This window comes from Homo sapiens, chromosome 1, assembly GCF_000001405.40.
Source record: "Homo sapiens chromosome 1, GRCh38.p14 Primary Assembly".
NCBI classification, from domain to species: Eukaryota; Metazoa; Chordata; class Mammalia; order Primates; family Hominidae; genus Homo; species Homo sapiens.
The window spans coordinates 74,448,131-74,463,949 of NC_000001.11; the positions used below are offsets into that span (position 1 = coordinate 74,448,131).

General features: G+C 36.4%; 2 protein-coding genes across 3 annotated transcripts in view; both read left to right on the forward strand.

The window, feature by feature from the left end:
* FPGT-TNNI3K (FPGT-TNNI3K readthrough) overlaps positions 1-15,819 on the forward strand; it is a 346,187-nt gene that overhangs the window by 249,889 nt on the left and 80,479 nt on the right. For both annotated transcript variants that reach the window (NM_001112808.3, NM_001199327.2), the window contains exon 23: positions 15,311-15,420. In NM_001112808.3, the coding sequence (NP_001106279.3) occupies positions 15,311-15,420 (110 nt within the window). The remainder of the gene's footprint in view (positions 1-15,310; positions 15,421-15,819) is intronic.
* The window catches only part of TNNI3K (TNNI3 interacting kinase), a 309,042-nt gene that overhangs the window by 212,744 nt on the left and 80,479 nt on the right, over positions 1-15,819 (forward strand). The window contains exon 21 of the mRNA NM_015978.3: positions 15,311-15,420. Within this exon, the coding sequence (NP_057062.1) occupies positions 15,311-15,420 (110 nt within the window). The remainder of the gene's footprint in view (positions 1-15,310; positions 15,421-15,819) is intronic.

Consider the following 15,819-nt stretch of genomic DNA (forward strand, 5'->3'; position numbering starts at 1 on the left):
GGATAGCATTGGGAGATATACCTAATGCTAGATGACACATTAGTGGGTGCAGCGCACCAGCATGGCACATGTATACATATGTAACTAACCTGCACAATGTGCACATGTACCCTAAAACTTAGAGTATAATAAAAAAAAAAAAAAAAAAAAAAAGAATGCTTGTGATTTTTGTACATTGATTTTGTATCCTGAGACTTTGCTGAAGTTGCTTATCAGCTTAAGGAGATTTTGGGCTGAGACAATGGGGTTTTCTAGATATACAATCATGTCGTCTGCAAACAGGGACAATTGACTTCCTCTTTTCCTAATTGAATACCCTTTATTTCCTTCTCCTGCCTAATTGCCCTGGCCAGAACTTCCAACACTATGTTGAATAGGAGTGGTGAGAGAGGGCATCCCTGTCTTGTGCCGGTTTTCAAAGGGAATGCTTCCAGTTTTTGCCCATTCAGTATGATATTGGCTGTGGGTTTGTCATAGATAGCTCTTATCATTTTGAAATACGTCCCATCAATACCTAATTTATTGAGAGTTTTTAGCATGAAGCGTTGTTGAATTTTGTCAAAGGCTTTTTCTGCATCTATTGAGATAATCATGTGGTTTTTGTCTTTGGCTCTGTTTATATGCTGGATTACATTTATTGATTTGCGTATATTGAACCAGCCTTGCATCCCAGGGATGAAGCCCACTTGATCATGGTGGATAAGCTTTTTGATGTGCTGCTGGATTTGGTTTGCCAGTATTTTATTGAGGATTTTTGCATCAATGTTCATCAAGGATATTGGTCTAAAATTCTCTTTTTTGGTTGTGTCTCTGCCCGGCTTTGGTATCAGAATGATGCTGGCCTCATAAAATGAGTTAGGGAGGATTCCCTCTTTTTCTATTGATTGGAATAGTTTCAGAAGGAATGGTACCAGTTCCTCCTTGTACCTCTGGTAGAATTTGGCTGTGAATCCATCTGGTCCTGGACTCTTTTTGGTTGGTAAACTATTGATTATTGCCACAATTTCAGCTCCTGTTATTGGTCTATTCAGAGATGCAACTTCTTCCTGGTTTAGTCTTTGGAGAGTGTATGTGTAGAGGAATTTATCCATTTCTTCTAGATTTTCCAGTTTATTTGCGTAGAGGTGTTTGTAGTATTCTCTGATGGTAGTTTGTATTTCTGTGGGATCGGTGGTGATATCCCCTTTATCATTTTTTATTGTGTCTATTTGATTCTTCTCTCTTTTTTTCTTTATTAGTCTTGCTAGCGGTCTATCAATTTTGTTGATCCTTTCAAAAAACCAGCTCCTGGATTCATTGATTTTTTGAATGGTTTTTTGTGTCTCTGTTTCCTTCAGAAAAGAGTCAAGACCCATCAGTGTGCTGTATTCAGGAAACCCATCTCACGTGCAGAGACACACATAGGCTCAAAATAAAAGGATGGAGGAAGATCTACCAAGCAAATGGAAAACAAAAAAAGGCAGGGGTTGCAATCCTAGTCTTCGATAAAACAGACTTTAAACCAACAAAGATCAAAAGAGACAAAGAAGGCCATTACATAATGGTAAAGGGATCAATTCAACAAGAAGAGCTAACTATCCTAAATATATATGCACCCAATACAGGAGCACCCAAATTCATAAAGCAAGTCCTGAGTGACCTACAAAGAGACTTAGACTCCCACACATTAATAATGGGAGATTTTAACACCCCACTGTCAACATTAGATAGATCAACGAGACAGAAAGTCAACAAGGATACCCAGGAATTGAACTCAGCTCTGCACCAAGCGGACCTAATAGACATCTACAGAACTCTCCACGCCAAATCAACAGAATATACATTTTTTTCAGCACCACACCACACCTATTCCAAAATTGACCACATAGTTGGAAGTAAAGCTCTCCTCAGCAAATGTAAAAGAACAGAAATTATAACAAACTATCTCTCAGACCACAGTGCAATCAAACTAGAACTCAGGATTAAGAATCTCACTCAAAGCCGCTCAACTACATGGAAACTGAACAACCTGCTCCTGAATGACTACTGGGTACATAACGAAATGAAGGCAGAAATAAAGATGTTCTTTGAAACCAACAAGAACAAAGACACGACATACCAGAATCTCTGGGACGCATTCAAAGCAGTGTGTAGAGGGAAATTTATAGCACTAAATGCCCACAAGAGAAAGCAGGAAAGATCCAAAATTGACACCCTAACATCACAATGAAAAGAACTAGAAAAGCAAGAGCAAACACATTCAAAAGCTAGCAGAAGGCAAGAAATAACTAAAATCAGAGCAGAACTAAACTAAAGAACTTCTGCACAGCAAAAGAAGCTATCGTCAGAGTGAGCAGACAATCTACCAAATAGAAAATGTTTATTATCTATCTATCTGAAAAAGGTCTAATACCCACAATCTACAATGGACTTAAACAAATTTACATGAAAAAAAACCCATTAAAAAGTGGGCAAAGGACATGAACAGACATGTCTCAAAAGAAGACATTTGTGCGGCCAACAAACATACAAAAAAACGCCCAACATCACTGATCATTAGAGAAACGCAGATCAAAACCACAATGAGACACCATTTCATGCCAGTCAGAATGGCGATTATTAATAAGTCAACAAACAACAGATACTGGCAAGGCTGTGGAGAAATAGGAATGCTTTTACACTGATGGTGGGTATGTAAATTGGTTCAACCATCATGGAAGACAATGTGGTGATTCCTCAAAGGCCTAGAACCAGACATATCATCTGACCCAGTAATCGCATTACTGGGTATATACCCAAAGGAATATAAATCATTCTATTATAAAGATACAGGCATGCTTGTGTTCAGTGTGCAGCACTATTCACAATAGCAAAGAGATGGAATCAACCCAAATGCCCATCAATTATAGATTGGATAAGGAAAATGTGGTACATATACACCATGGAATATTATGCTGCCATAAAAAGGAATGAGATCATGTCCTTTGCAGGGACATGGATGCTGGAAGCCATTATCCTCAGAAAACTAACACAGGAACAGAAAACCAAACACCACATGTTCTCACTTATAAGCGGGAACTAAACAATGAGAACACATGGACACAGGGAGGGGAACAATGCATACTGGGGCCTGTTGGGGAAGGCAGGGGGAGGGAGAGCACCAGGAAAAATAGCTAATGCATACTGTGCTTAATACCTAGGTGACAGGTTGATAGGTGCAGCAAACCATCATGGTACATGTTTACTTATGTAACAAACCTGCACATCCTGCACATGTTTCCCGAGAACTTAATAAAATAAAATGAATCAATGTCCAATTTTTTGCTACTATTAATATATAGAAATATAATAAATTTTATTGCAATCTAGTACCCCACAAACTTACTAAATTTACTTCTCCATCCTAGTTCCCTTTTTTATACCTTCTTTGGGATTTCTACATAAATAATTATGTCATCTGTTAATAAAGAATTTTCTTCCTTCCTTCCTTTCTTTTCTTTCTTTCCTTCCTTCCTTCCTTTTCTTTTTCTTTCTTTCTTTCCTTTCTTTTTTCTTTTCTTTTCTTTTCTTTTCTTTTCTTTCTTTCTTTCTTTCTTTCTTTCTTTCTTTCTTTCTTTCTTTCTTTCTTTCTTTCTTTCTTTTCTTTTCTTTTCTTTTCTTCTTTTCTTTGCCTTTTTGAACAGTCAGGGACCTCCAGTACAATGTTGAATTGAAGTGGTAAGATATATACCTCAGATTTGTCTATTTCTCAAAATGTTTCATCTGCCATCACCCTAGTGCAAACTGCCAGCTTTATCATTTGAACTTCTGAAATTGTTTTTGACTGTTCTTTCTTGGTTTATTTTTGTTTTCTTTTCCTCTCCAATCTCTAAACATCCACTGAAATAATATTTTAAAAACATAAACCTGATATATTACCATTGCTTAAAATTATTGTATGGCTTCCCATATTCTTAGCATTAAATCTCAAAATTCTTATGTCCTGTAAAACTCTCCCTGATTCTGTACCTCTCACATTACTAACATCAGTTCACTTTCTGCACTCTCAGTATGTTGCATTTCATCTGACCTCTAGGCATTTTCACAAGTTCTGTTTCCTCAGTAAATGCAATTAATGATGACTACCACAAAAAATTACTGTGAGCATTCAATGAGATTATGTTTGTGACCACACTTTATAAATTGCAAACTCTCTGTAACTGTAAGGTGCAAGATTAGGAAAAAGTGTAATACAAGGTCAAGGCTCCTTTTGATTCTGTACTTCAGTGGCACTCTCGTTCTCTAGGTGGCCCATGTAGAAACTTCAAAGTCATCCTTGACTCCTCTTTAGTCTCGTTTTATTTATTTCTCTCTTTCTTTCTTTTTAAAATTATTTTCCTATTTTCAGTTCTACAGTTTATCTCTGAAATCCATCCAGTTATCTCCATCTCCACTGCTACTTCCTTATTTCACATGTCAAATACAGCACATTATCTTAAATAGTATCCTGCCTTCAGCTTTGCTTATCATCTTTTTTCCACCAATCACTAGATTTAGCTTTCTAAAAATGCAAATTTGAACATAGCACTTCTTTGACTTAAAATTCCCAGTGTTTTTCTTTTGCTCTTAAGATAAAAACAAAACATCTTAAAACAATCTTCAAAGCCCCTTATGATTATGTCCCTGCCTGCCTCCCCGGCCTCCATCTCACCACATGCAGCCCGTCATCCAGAGTCATCCCAACCACAGGAAACTTTCATATCCCCAGCATGTGTCCTCTCACCTCCATGCCTTTGTGCACATTAGTCTCTTTGTCAGAGACACTCTTCTCCACTTTTCATTACAGCAACTCCAATTTATTTTTAGGTCTTAGTCTAAATATAATTTCTTTCCAAAAATCTTTCTTAATTCTCCAATATCAAGTGCAATTTCCTCCTTATCCCAAGTTACCATTTATCATTGCATTTATCACATTTTACTCACAGTTTTGTAATTTTCTCTACTTCATTAGACTTTGCTAATTATAAACTAAATACTTAAAAAAGGTAAAAATGTCCCTGAGATTTTAGTTCATGGACCCCAGAAATAGTTACCCACTTTAGAGGGAGAATATTATTTAATAAAAAGTTGAAAGTCTTGCCTAAGAGTATCTTTGTTCCAATATCCCAGATATTAAAATGTATAGTACTTTATTGGAAAGAGATTTTGTTTATGATAGATGCTGAATTTTTCAAAGTTGGACAGTTACCATGAATCAAGAAACAAGATGTCTAATATCATTTCAGTGGTTAGGCCATCTAGCATATGTTCAGCAATAAATTATGTGAAGCATCAGATTCAATATAAGCTACATATTAGCCATTTACAACGAGGAACGAATCCATGACTGCAAAGTGAGACAGCATTATCAATTATGGTAGTAGCAGCATTATACAGGACTCATCCTTCTGGATTTAACAGCATACTACTTCCTGGGAAAAATATAAACAAAGAACACCAATATTAGCATTGACTCCTACACAAGTGATAGGGATACATTCAGAAAAGCTTGAAGTTAGGGTCTCTTTTGCATCTCACATGTTCAAATTAACCTGTAATCTCAGGTTTAGGAAAACTGAAAAACCATCACATCCACCACCTTAAAGGTCAAATCAAAAAGATCAAATGCCCACAGGACCATGCAGATGCTCAAGGCAGAACAGTGTGATGAATAAGAAATCACGTGCTCTGACTCACGCTCCAGCCAAACAGCGCTGAGCAGGAACGTAGGTATACCCACGCTGACCATATCAACTAATTTCTTTCTGCTCATTAATTAAGAAATCTATACATTTTTTAATGTTGGCAATTAATTCAGCATTTTAAAGAAAATATGTTTCAGGCTAACACCGTAGGGGCTAAAGAGAATTGGCATGTGTCTTGCGACCTTGTGCAATTTATTTAACCTATCTATACCTTAGTTTATTATTTTTATTCTTAATTCTTTCTTTTATGTTATTATGGATACATAATAATTGTACATATTTATGGGGTACATGTGATGTTTTGATTCAGGCATAAAATGTGTAATGATCAAACCAGAATAATAGGGATATCTGACTTAAGCATTTATCATTTCTTTGGATTAGGGACATTCTAATTCTGTTCTTTAGTTGTTTTAAAACATACAATAAATTATTGTTAACTATAGTCACTCCATTATGCTACTGAATACTAGATCTTATTCATTTTATCTAACTGTACTTTTGTATCTATTAACCATTTCCACTTTATCTCATCTTCCCCACTACCCTTCCCAGCCTCTGGTAACTATCATTCTACTTTCTATCTCCATGAGTTCATTTTTATTTAAGCTCCCACATATGAGCGAGAACATGTGATATTTGTTTTTCTGTGCCTGGCTTATTTCACTTCATATAATGGCTTCCAGTTCCATCCATGTTGTTGCAAATGATAGGATTTCATTCTTTTTATGTCTGAATAATATTCCTTGTGAATATGTACCACATTTTCTTTATCCATTTATCTACTGATGTACATTTAGGCTGGTTCAAAATCTTTACTATTGTTAATTGTGCTGCAGTAAACATGGGAGTGCAGCTATCTCTTAGATATACTGATTTCTTTTCTTTTGGATATATACCTGGCAGTGGGATTGCTGGATAATATGGTAGTACAATTGTTAGTTTTTTGAGAAACCTCCATGCTGTTCTCCATCTCAGTGACTGTACAAATTAACATTCCCACCAACAGTGTATGAGAGTTCCCCTTTCTTTGCATCCTCACAAGCATTCATTTATTTTTTAAATGGACATAATAATAAGACCTACTTCAAAAGGTTAGAGCAGTGGTTGATAATAATAAGCACTCAGTAAATGTTAGGTATTATTATTATTATTATCTTTAGGCCACCACTGAGTTCTTTCTTTCTGGGCCAGGAACTGTGCCATAGTAAGCAGAAAATAAAGAGGAATAGGTCGCTGACCAGGCCATCAAACTACTCATAGTATAGAGAATGAGTGACAGAAGCAAAATCAGCAGAGTAAGTCTCAACTAGAGAGAAGCACAGAGGACTAAGGATGCTCCCTGGAAGGGCCTTTTACCCAAACTGGAGGAAGTAAAAGGATATCAGGGAAGGATTCTTAGAACAGATGATACCTGAATGCACTTTTAAAAGATGACTACTAGTTAAATAGGTAAACTATGAAGAAGTGAGGAAGATGATCCAGCAGAAAGCTGTATCAGCAAGGTCCAGAGGCCTGAGAAATCCACATATAGTTCAGTAGGGATGAATCAGGGAATACAAGGACATCAGTCAAACAACACAGACTATAAATGTAAAACTGGAACCAGATGTTGAAAGTCCTTGTACAAGTCAGGGTTCTCTAGAGAAGCAGAACAAGTGGAATATATCTATTTATATGTGTAAGAGGTGATTTATTGTGGTAATTGACTCATATGATTATGAAGACCAAGAAATCCCACAATATGCTCTCCACTAACCAGAGAACCCAGAAAGTCAGTGATGTAATTCAGTGTGAGTTCAAAGTCCTGAGAATCAGGAGGGTCACCACTGTAAGTTCCAGACTCTGAAGGCCCAAGGATCTGAAGTGCTGATATCTGAGGTCAGGAGAAGGTGCATGTCACAGCCCCAGAAAAGAGAGCTAATTCACCCTTCCTCTGCCTCCTCATTCTGTTGGGGCCCTCAAGGCATTGGATGATGCCTGCCCACATTGGTGAGGGTGGATCTTTTACACTCAGTCTATGACTCAAATGCTAATCTCTTCAAGAAGCACCCTCACAGACACACTAGAAATAACAGTTTACCAGCTATCTGGGTATCCCTTAGCCCAGTCAAGTTGACACATTTAATGAACTATCACAGGCCTTGTGTGTGTCATCAATGGAGGTCACTGCAAAGTTTTAAAAAGGAATATAGAACAACTCTTATTATTATTTTAGAATGCTTCTCTTGTAACAAAGCAAAGGCTGGACTGGAGAAATTCAAAACTGGAAGCAGGGAAATCAGTTCATCTAGAAGAAATATCTATTACGTTAACTGAAGCAGTAGCTTTGAAAGAGAAAGGAGATATTGGTTTAGGGAGATTTTAATAGGACTTCTGAATGGATTGAGGTGGGAGCACAAGGGAAATGAGGAGGTCAAGAAAGACTTCCAGGCTTCTGGCTTAACCATCATGATAATGATGGATACAAGAAAAGGAGCAGATTTATGAGGGAAATTATCAGATTAGGAGGAGAAGGAGCCAAGGTGTGAAGCCAAACAGATAGAGAAGAACCAGGCAAGATGAAAAATAAGCAGGCACAACCTGGCAAATAAGAGCTGTCCTCAATACATTTTAGAGAAAGAAATCAACACCTGCTTCCCAGATTTCATTTCTCTCCTGGGCTTGTCTCCTCTGATACATCATGATCAACTAAAGAAGAAAGCTGAGATGAATTAATCCATCAATATGTATTGTATCCATTCCCATTTCCTTATAACCAGGTACCCAGATTTGTGGATCACTTTCAAATTATAGTCTGGGCCCAAAGAAGAGAGTCTCTTGTTTTCTTTTTGTTTTCCTGTGTGACGCCAGCTGGTTCACAAAGAGATTTAACTCTGTGTCCTGGGATTCCTTAATGCCAGGCTCTTAGTAGTCTAGGATATAGCAGTAATTTAAGAACATCTGCCAATTTTTTCTAGGCAGGTTTTGGTGAGACTTCATATTGAGACTTTAACTCAGAGTTGCAAACTGGAAGTCCAGGAACCAAATATGGCTTGCAGACTTTTTTATGTCACATATGGTATTTAAAAATATGAATTAAAGTACATTTAAAGACACAGATATTCAATAGGTCTCATATTGGTAGCCATTTGAGTTTACTACCCCTCCTTAAATATTAGATGATTATGTCCTTTTCCACATATTATTTGGACCCTAAAGCATTCTGGATATAATAACTTCATAGGATACAAACACACTGATGATGTGGACTGTTCTTTGACAAGCGGCAGGAAAATAGGAGTGAGCTAAATTTCTGAAATCTTATGTTTATTGTGCTAATCCTTATCAGTTTATCACTAAAAGGAGTAGAGCCAACCAATCACCACGCAGATCACTGGAAAGATTAAATCAGTCCAATAGATGGAGATATTTCTATGAATATAGCTGATATTAACATTCCAATATTTCATTACACTGACAAAGATTGCAATGAGAACAGACAATGGAACAAATTAATCTATTCTTCTGACAGTATGTAATGAGAATGGGATGTGGTTTAAAAAATTAAGCCATTCTTAGTGCAATCTCAAGATTGCAATCTCATGGTCTCTCTCAGATGCTATACACTCTGGTGATACGTCATTGAAAAGTGTCAGTTTAACAAAGAATGTGTCTTAGCTCTTGCTGGGATTGTAGAACACATTTGCTTTGTCTCACCGCAGCCCTGCCCATTAAAAACAATGAAGTAGAATCAATTATACTTTTCAGAACACACATAAACACAATCAAAGTTGAAAAATTAAGATACTTCTGGCAATTTTATATTGGTCAAAACTTACTAACAAAATATTGTAGCGTATTGCTCTCTTTTTAATCTTTTTAATGTGAGTTTCTAAATTTAATTTTATAAAACAGAAGACAGTGAAAGGTTACTTTAGGGATTGAGAATCTAATACTAACTTATCCGTAAGTGGGGTATAGATAATTAAGGCTGTCATGGAGAGCTGCACAGTCATTCTCTCTGCATAGTCATATTGCATTATGAGCTGAGCCTTATGACCAGTGAGATAGGTTGTAGCCTTAAAATTTGCAGTAACTCAATGTAATATTTTACTTGGTATTCATACCCAAAGAGAACCTAAAAAGGACCTAAGTTGACTGGTGTTCTAAACAAAACAGAAAACATACAATTATGTTTTTTATATCTAGCTCTCTAGGTTCAAACCAAAAAGAATTGGTAAGACTTTTAGATGTGCAGATGATGATAATAGCAACAACAACGCAGCTACACTTGTTGAGAGCCAACAATGTGCCTGGAGCTCCATGTATACTATCTCAGTTAGTCCTACTAACCTGTGGGTTAAGTTCTTTTAGGATAAGACATTTGCTCAATGTCACATGCTAGTAAGAGGGCAGTCAAGACTTAAATACTCAGGTTCTCTGTCTTCAAAGCCCATGTTTGCCACGATTATACTCTGTCTTCCCTGCTTCATCTTACATTTAGCAAAATTAATGCTCATGAGGCAAATTGGTTTAATTAGTATCTCCCAGAGAGTTTACAGCAAAGCCAGACTGAAAATTAGACCTCCAGATTTCCTTGGTAAAGGTACTTCTTATTATGTCACTCTGCTTTAATTTATTGAAGCACCTCCTCCCATATTTTTGAATGAAAGATATTATATTGATTAAATTTGCCACTAGATTTCAGTAATTTACCTGCTCATGTTGTCATCTAGAATTAAACTAAACATTATATTCACTCTACAGTGTTTCTTGATGGCTAGGCATTGTGCCCTATTCTCTAAACATAATAATGAATAAGATATTTATTGCTGTTAAGCTATCATCTTCATTCATTTATTCAATAAATGTTACTGAGTCCTATATACCAGAATTTATATGAGTTCCAGTTAAATAACACTTTTAGTGCCTATGTTTTTTAATTGTTTACTGTTATTCAACTTCTATTTTAGATTCAGGGGGTACATGTGCAGGTTCATTGGTATATTGTGATGCTCAGGTTTGGGTTATAGATCTCATCACCAGGCAGTGAGCATAGTACCCAATAGGTAGTTTTTCAACTTGCCCCTCTCTCTCCCTTCCTCCTCTAGTAGTCTGCAGTGTCTATTGTTCTCATCTTTATGTCCATGTGTACCCAAAGTTTAGTTCCCACTTATAGGTGAGAACATGTGTTATTTGGTTTTCTGGTCCTGCATTAATTCCCCTTGGATAATGACCTCTACTGTCCACAATAGCAAAGACATGGAATCAACTTAGGTGCACATCAACAGAGGATTGGATAAAGAAAATGTGGTACATACACACCATAGAATACTATATGGCCATAAAAAGAACAAAATAATGTCCATTGCAGCAACATGGATGTAGCTGGAGGCCATTATCCTAAGGGAAATAATGCATACCTTTTGAATACCTATTAATAGCCAAGTACTGTGCTAGGCACAGAAGATACAATGGTGAAAAGACACAGTCCCTGACCTCAAGGCATTTATGATCTATATGCACAGGCAGACAAATAAAGAGGCAATTAAGTATAATACATGTTATGATAGTACAGGTTGTTATGGAAGTACATAGGAAGGGTACCCAGGAAAAGTCAATCAAAGATAAGAGCTAAATGACAGTAGATGTTACGAAGGAAAAAGAGGTAGGGGAGAACATTCCAGGCAAAAGGAATCGCATTTTAGAATTAACAACTGAACCATAAAATGCAGTGAAAAAAACTAGGCATTCACATATTTCTTATTTATTCATTTACCAATTTTCATTGAAAAAAATAACACCAGATTATTTTTGGTTTATTATCACTTACATAAAATAGTCAGTACATTTTGACAAATGAATACATGAATGAGGTTATCACATGTTGTGCTGAATGCCTGTTCTGTAGCTTTTCACTGGTCTATCACTTTTGAGAAACAACATACACAATCTCCATTCATGTCTTTTCTTTTCTTGATAAAGTATCGACAAACAAGGGAGAAGTTGAATCCACAAATTGACACCATGGTTATATAGACTCTGCAGCTGACTCACAATACTGGGTTTAACTCTTGTTTTTCAGGATAATGAGAGTGCAAGCTATGCTCTAGAATTATGTTGTTTAATATGAAAGCCACTTACCATGACTATTTAAATTTATATTAAATAAAATTAAACAAATTAAAAACTCAATTTATCAGTCACACTAGCCACATTTTAAGTGCTCTGTAACTTTATGCTATCATATTTAACAACATATAACTTTTTTTTTTTTTTGAGACGGAGTCTTGCTCTGTCGCCCAGGCTGGAGTGCAGTGGCACGATCTCGACTCACTGCAACCTCTGCCTCCCAGGTTGAAGTGATTTTCCTGCCTCGAGTAGCTGGGACTACAGGCGCCAGCCACCACGTCCAGCTAATTTTTTGTGTTTTTAGTAGAGATGCGGTTTCACCGTGTTAGCCAGGATGGTCTCAATCTCCTGACCTCGTGATCTGCCGCCTCGGCCTCCCAAAGTGCTGGGATTACAAGAACATTTTTATCAGTGTAAAAAGTTCTATTGGATACTCCTACTCTAGATCTAGGTTATTATTTCTACTAAACTATTGATAAATATTTCAGGAGACTGTTGAGAAATAATAGTTGCTCAATAAATAGTTATTAATATTTTTAAATTTAGCTTTATTCTCCTTTAATGGCAAAGTCTCATTCTTTAAAGTAGAAACCAACATTTACATAAATCCTCTAACATATTTTTTGTAGCAATCAAGGTAAAAATTTGATTAATGGGCTGACAATCTCCTTCCTGAATCTGTAATACCAGAAAATTTCCCAGATGTTAGTGTAGCATGGCTGCTTAGGCAAGACTGACAAAACAATCTCAAGGTGACAAATTTCAATTTCATGACCCCCTCATGTTACATTGCCCACTTTCTGGTGGAGGCACTAATGAGTAGCATCACTGCCAAGAGTGCTTAAAGCAAAGGGGAGGAGATGCCAAGACTTTGCAGAATCTACTTTGAATAATGAAGAATTAAATATCATTCATCTTAAACTGATTTTCCAGACACACTGCCAAGAAGCAAACAAGTAACTCTATATTTTTGATACCAGAATCTAAAAGAATTTCAAAGGGGGATGGTTGGCACCTGCATCAGAGTTTAACTCATTTTATGACTAGTCCCTCCCCACCCATTAGACTATGCACAACTATTTTAAATGTGCTCACCATACTGGCTTATGTACTTACAGCTACACCAGCTCAACAATATCCAAATGATCATAAGGTAACAAAGTGGAGTTAGAAGATCAGTGATTGCTGAGCACCAGTTTGTTTGCTTATTGATTTACCTCATCCCAGAAATAATTTAAAAATAGTCAAGAGTGGCCCAGCATGGTGCCTCACGCCTGTAATCCCAGCACTTTGGGAGGCCAAGGCAGGAGGATCACGAGGTCAGGAGATCGAGACCATCCTGCTAACACAGTGAAATCCCATCTCTACTAAAAATACAAAAAAATTAGCTGGGGGTGGTGGCATGTGCCTGTAGTCCCAGCTATTTGGGAGGCTGAGGCAGGAGAATCACTTGAACCCAGGAGGCAGAGGCTGCAGTGAGCCCAGATCATGCCACTGCACTCCAGCCTGGGTGACACAGTGAGACTCTGTCTCGAGAAAAAAAAAAAAAAAAAGAGTAACCAGTGAAAGTACTCCAAAATGCCTAATTTTTTGTGACACAGAAGACACATTTAATAAGTAGTGACATATTTGATAAGAACACAATCTAAACAACAAAAAAAATGAGTGGCTATATTTACCTCTGAAATTAGTAACATGTTTTATAAAATGAGAAAACCTAATTCTGGTGCAGATGTATTGATAACCCTCACACACATGCTGTTGAGAGTATAAATTTAGTACAACTGTTAGAATAATTGTTGTACCGAAGTCTTTAAAGTAGTTATGCCTTTGGCACATCATCTTCTCTCCTCAAAATATCATAAATGAATAATCTATGAAATCTGGCAACTCATGTTGAAAAGATATTCTTTGAAGTGTTTACACCCAAATTTGGAAAAACCTAAAATTCGGAAATGATTAAAAACTAAATGCAGAGTCATTAAAATATGTTAACATAAAGTGTTAATAACATGAGAAAATGCTTCATTGCTTAGATTAATGCTTTAATATTTAGAAAAAACAATTACATAATTGTATATTGACATAAGGTCAATGATGTAAAGTATAAGAAATATGTGAAATATTTTAACAATGGTTTCTTCTAAATGATAACATTTATTCCTTCTAATTCTCTTAATTTTTTAAACTTCTACAAGGAAGAAGTATTAATTTACAATTGGCAAAATTAGGTAATCATTCAGAATAATCCATAAAGTGTTGATCAAATCACATTGCATATAATTTCACTAGGCCTACTGAAAGTGTATGGATAAACAGAATTTGATGGGAGTAAATTTTGGTAGAGTAGAGGTAGTAGTTGTGGCTTATATCTCAAAAGTCATTAAGATATAGACAGATGCTTACAATACCACAATCTAAAAGACAGGCAGCAGCAATGTCCTGGAACTTTATCCTCTCACTGATGCAGAGCAGTTTTTGTGAGGAATAGACAGGGCATCATGTGTTGATTACAGAGTATATTTATTATAATGTGTGCTAAAGAGAGCATGGATTTTGAAACAAAAGACTGCACCAAACATTAGTTATATGTAAAATGTTTATAAATTAAAAACTAGCTCCACACATAACAACAACAACAACACCTACTTTGCATGGTGGTTAGGAGGATTAAAGGAGTTTATGTAGTTATCTACCATGATGCCTGATACAAAATGCATTCAGTAAAAGTAGCTACAAGCTTGGTTTCTAAGGGAGTATAGAAATCATTAGTTGCAGAACAGGAAATATTTAGCAATCAGGAATCTACAGTGAAGTTCTAAGAATCACAAAACAGTGATGCAGACTTTGAGATGAGCGATATTCAGAAATCCATGCAGGCAGGCAACACGACAGACTTCAATCAATGAGTATTGTTAGCTAAAATAAAGATGTGAAGTGTCCAACAGAGTTTTAAAAATAATAACTACTTTATAAATATTAAAAATTAAAATCCCAACAACTTTGTAACCAGTAATAGGATTTAAGCTTTAAAAAAATCTACTTTGCTCAAGTGATACAGGTGCTATGAGAAGTGCAAATTTCAGTGGTATTCCATGTTTACTACATACAATATAAGCTCTTTAGCCTGGGATTTATGGCATTATACAGTCTTGTTTAATCTGCCTTTCAATCTTTACTTCTTATAATATCATGTACATACCCTATACTTCAGACAAACAAAACTACTTGCTCCTTGCATATTCCTTCACTCCTTATAAATGCCCTGTACTATTTATTGAGTCTGAAACCAAATGAATAAAGATAAGTTTGTAGTATCAAATTATCCATCACTTTCTTTAGACCATTGGGGGAAAAAAGCCTAGAGGTCTCTTTGAATGTCTGCTGATGTTGCTCAGATTGATTTTTAATGCCTTTTTGTGTGTGTGTGTCTTCATTTGTTGCTTGAAATAAACATGTGAATTTCAAAACTGACATGACCATTTGGTTTGCAGCGGCTGCGGCAGCAGACATGGCTTACCACCACATCAGACCTCCCATTGGCTATTCCATTCCCAAGCCCATATCATCTCTGCTGATACGAGGGTGGAACGCATGTCCTGAAGTGAGTAATTTTTATTTCCTCTTAGAAAATGTGTTATGGTCAAAATCTGTCACAAATAGTATAACTCCAAAGTCTACTTTCAGTGTGTATTTTAAGACTGTCAAGGCGGGAAGACTGATTTGCCTTCTGCTCTTTAGTCTCTAATTGCCTCAAGAAGTCTGAGTATCTCATATTTCTTAGCTGCTGCTTTCTGATTTTGAAACGTTTCTCACAACTGATTAGTAAAAGAGAGACCAGGGTATGACAGATGACTCACAGTCTCATCTCAGCTGCAATTTTTATTAACTACGCGTGAGCCACACTTAGTCATTTTCTGAAGCAAGAAATTTGGCACAAGATGGATTTGTGTTGGCTTTTAAACATGAGGCAGGCCTCAGAATAGGTGGTCTTCAGTAGCAC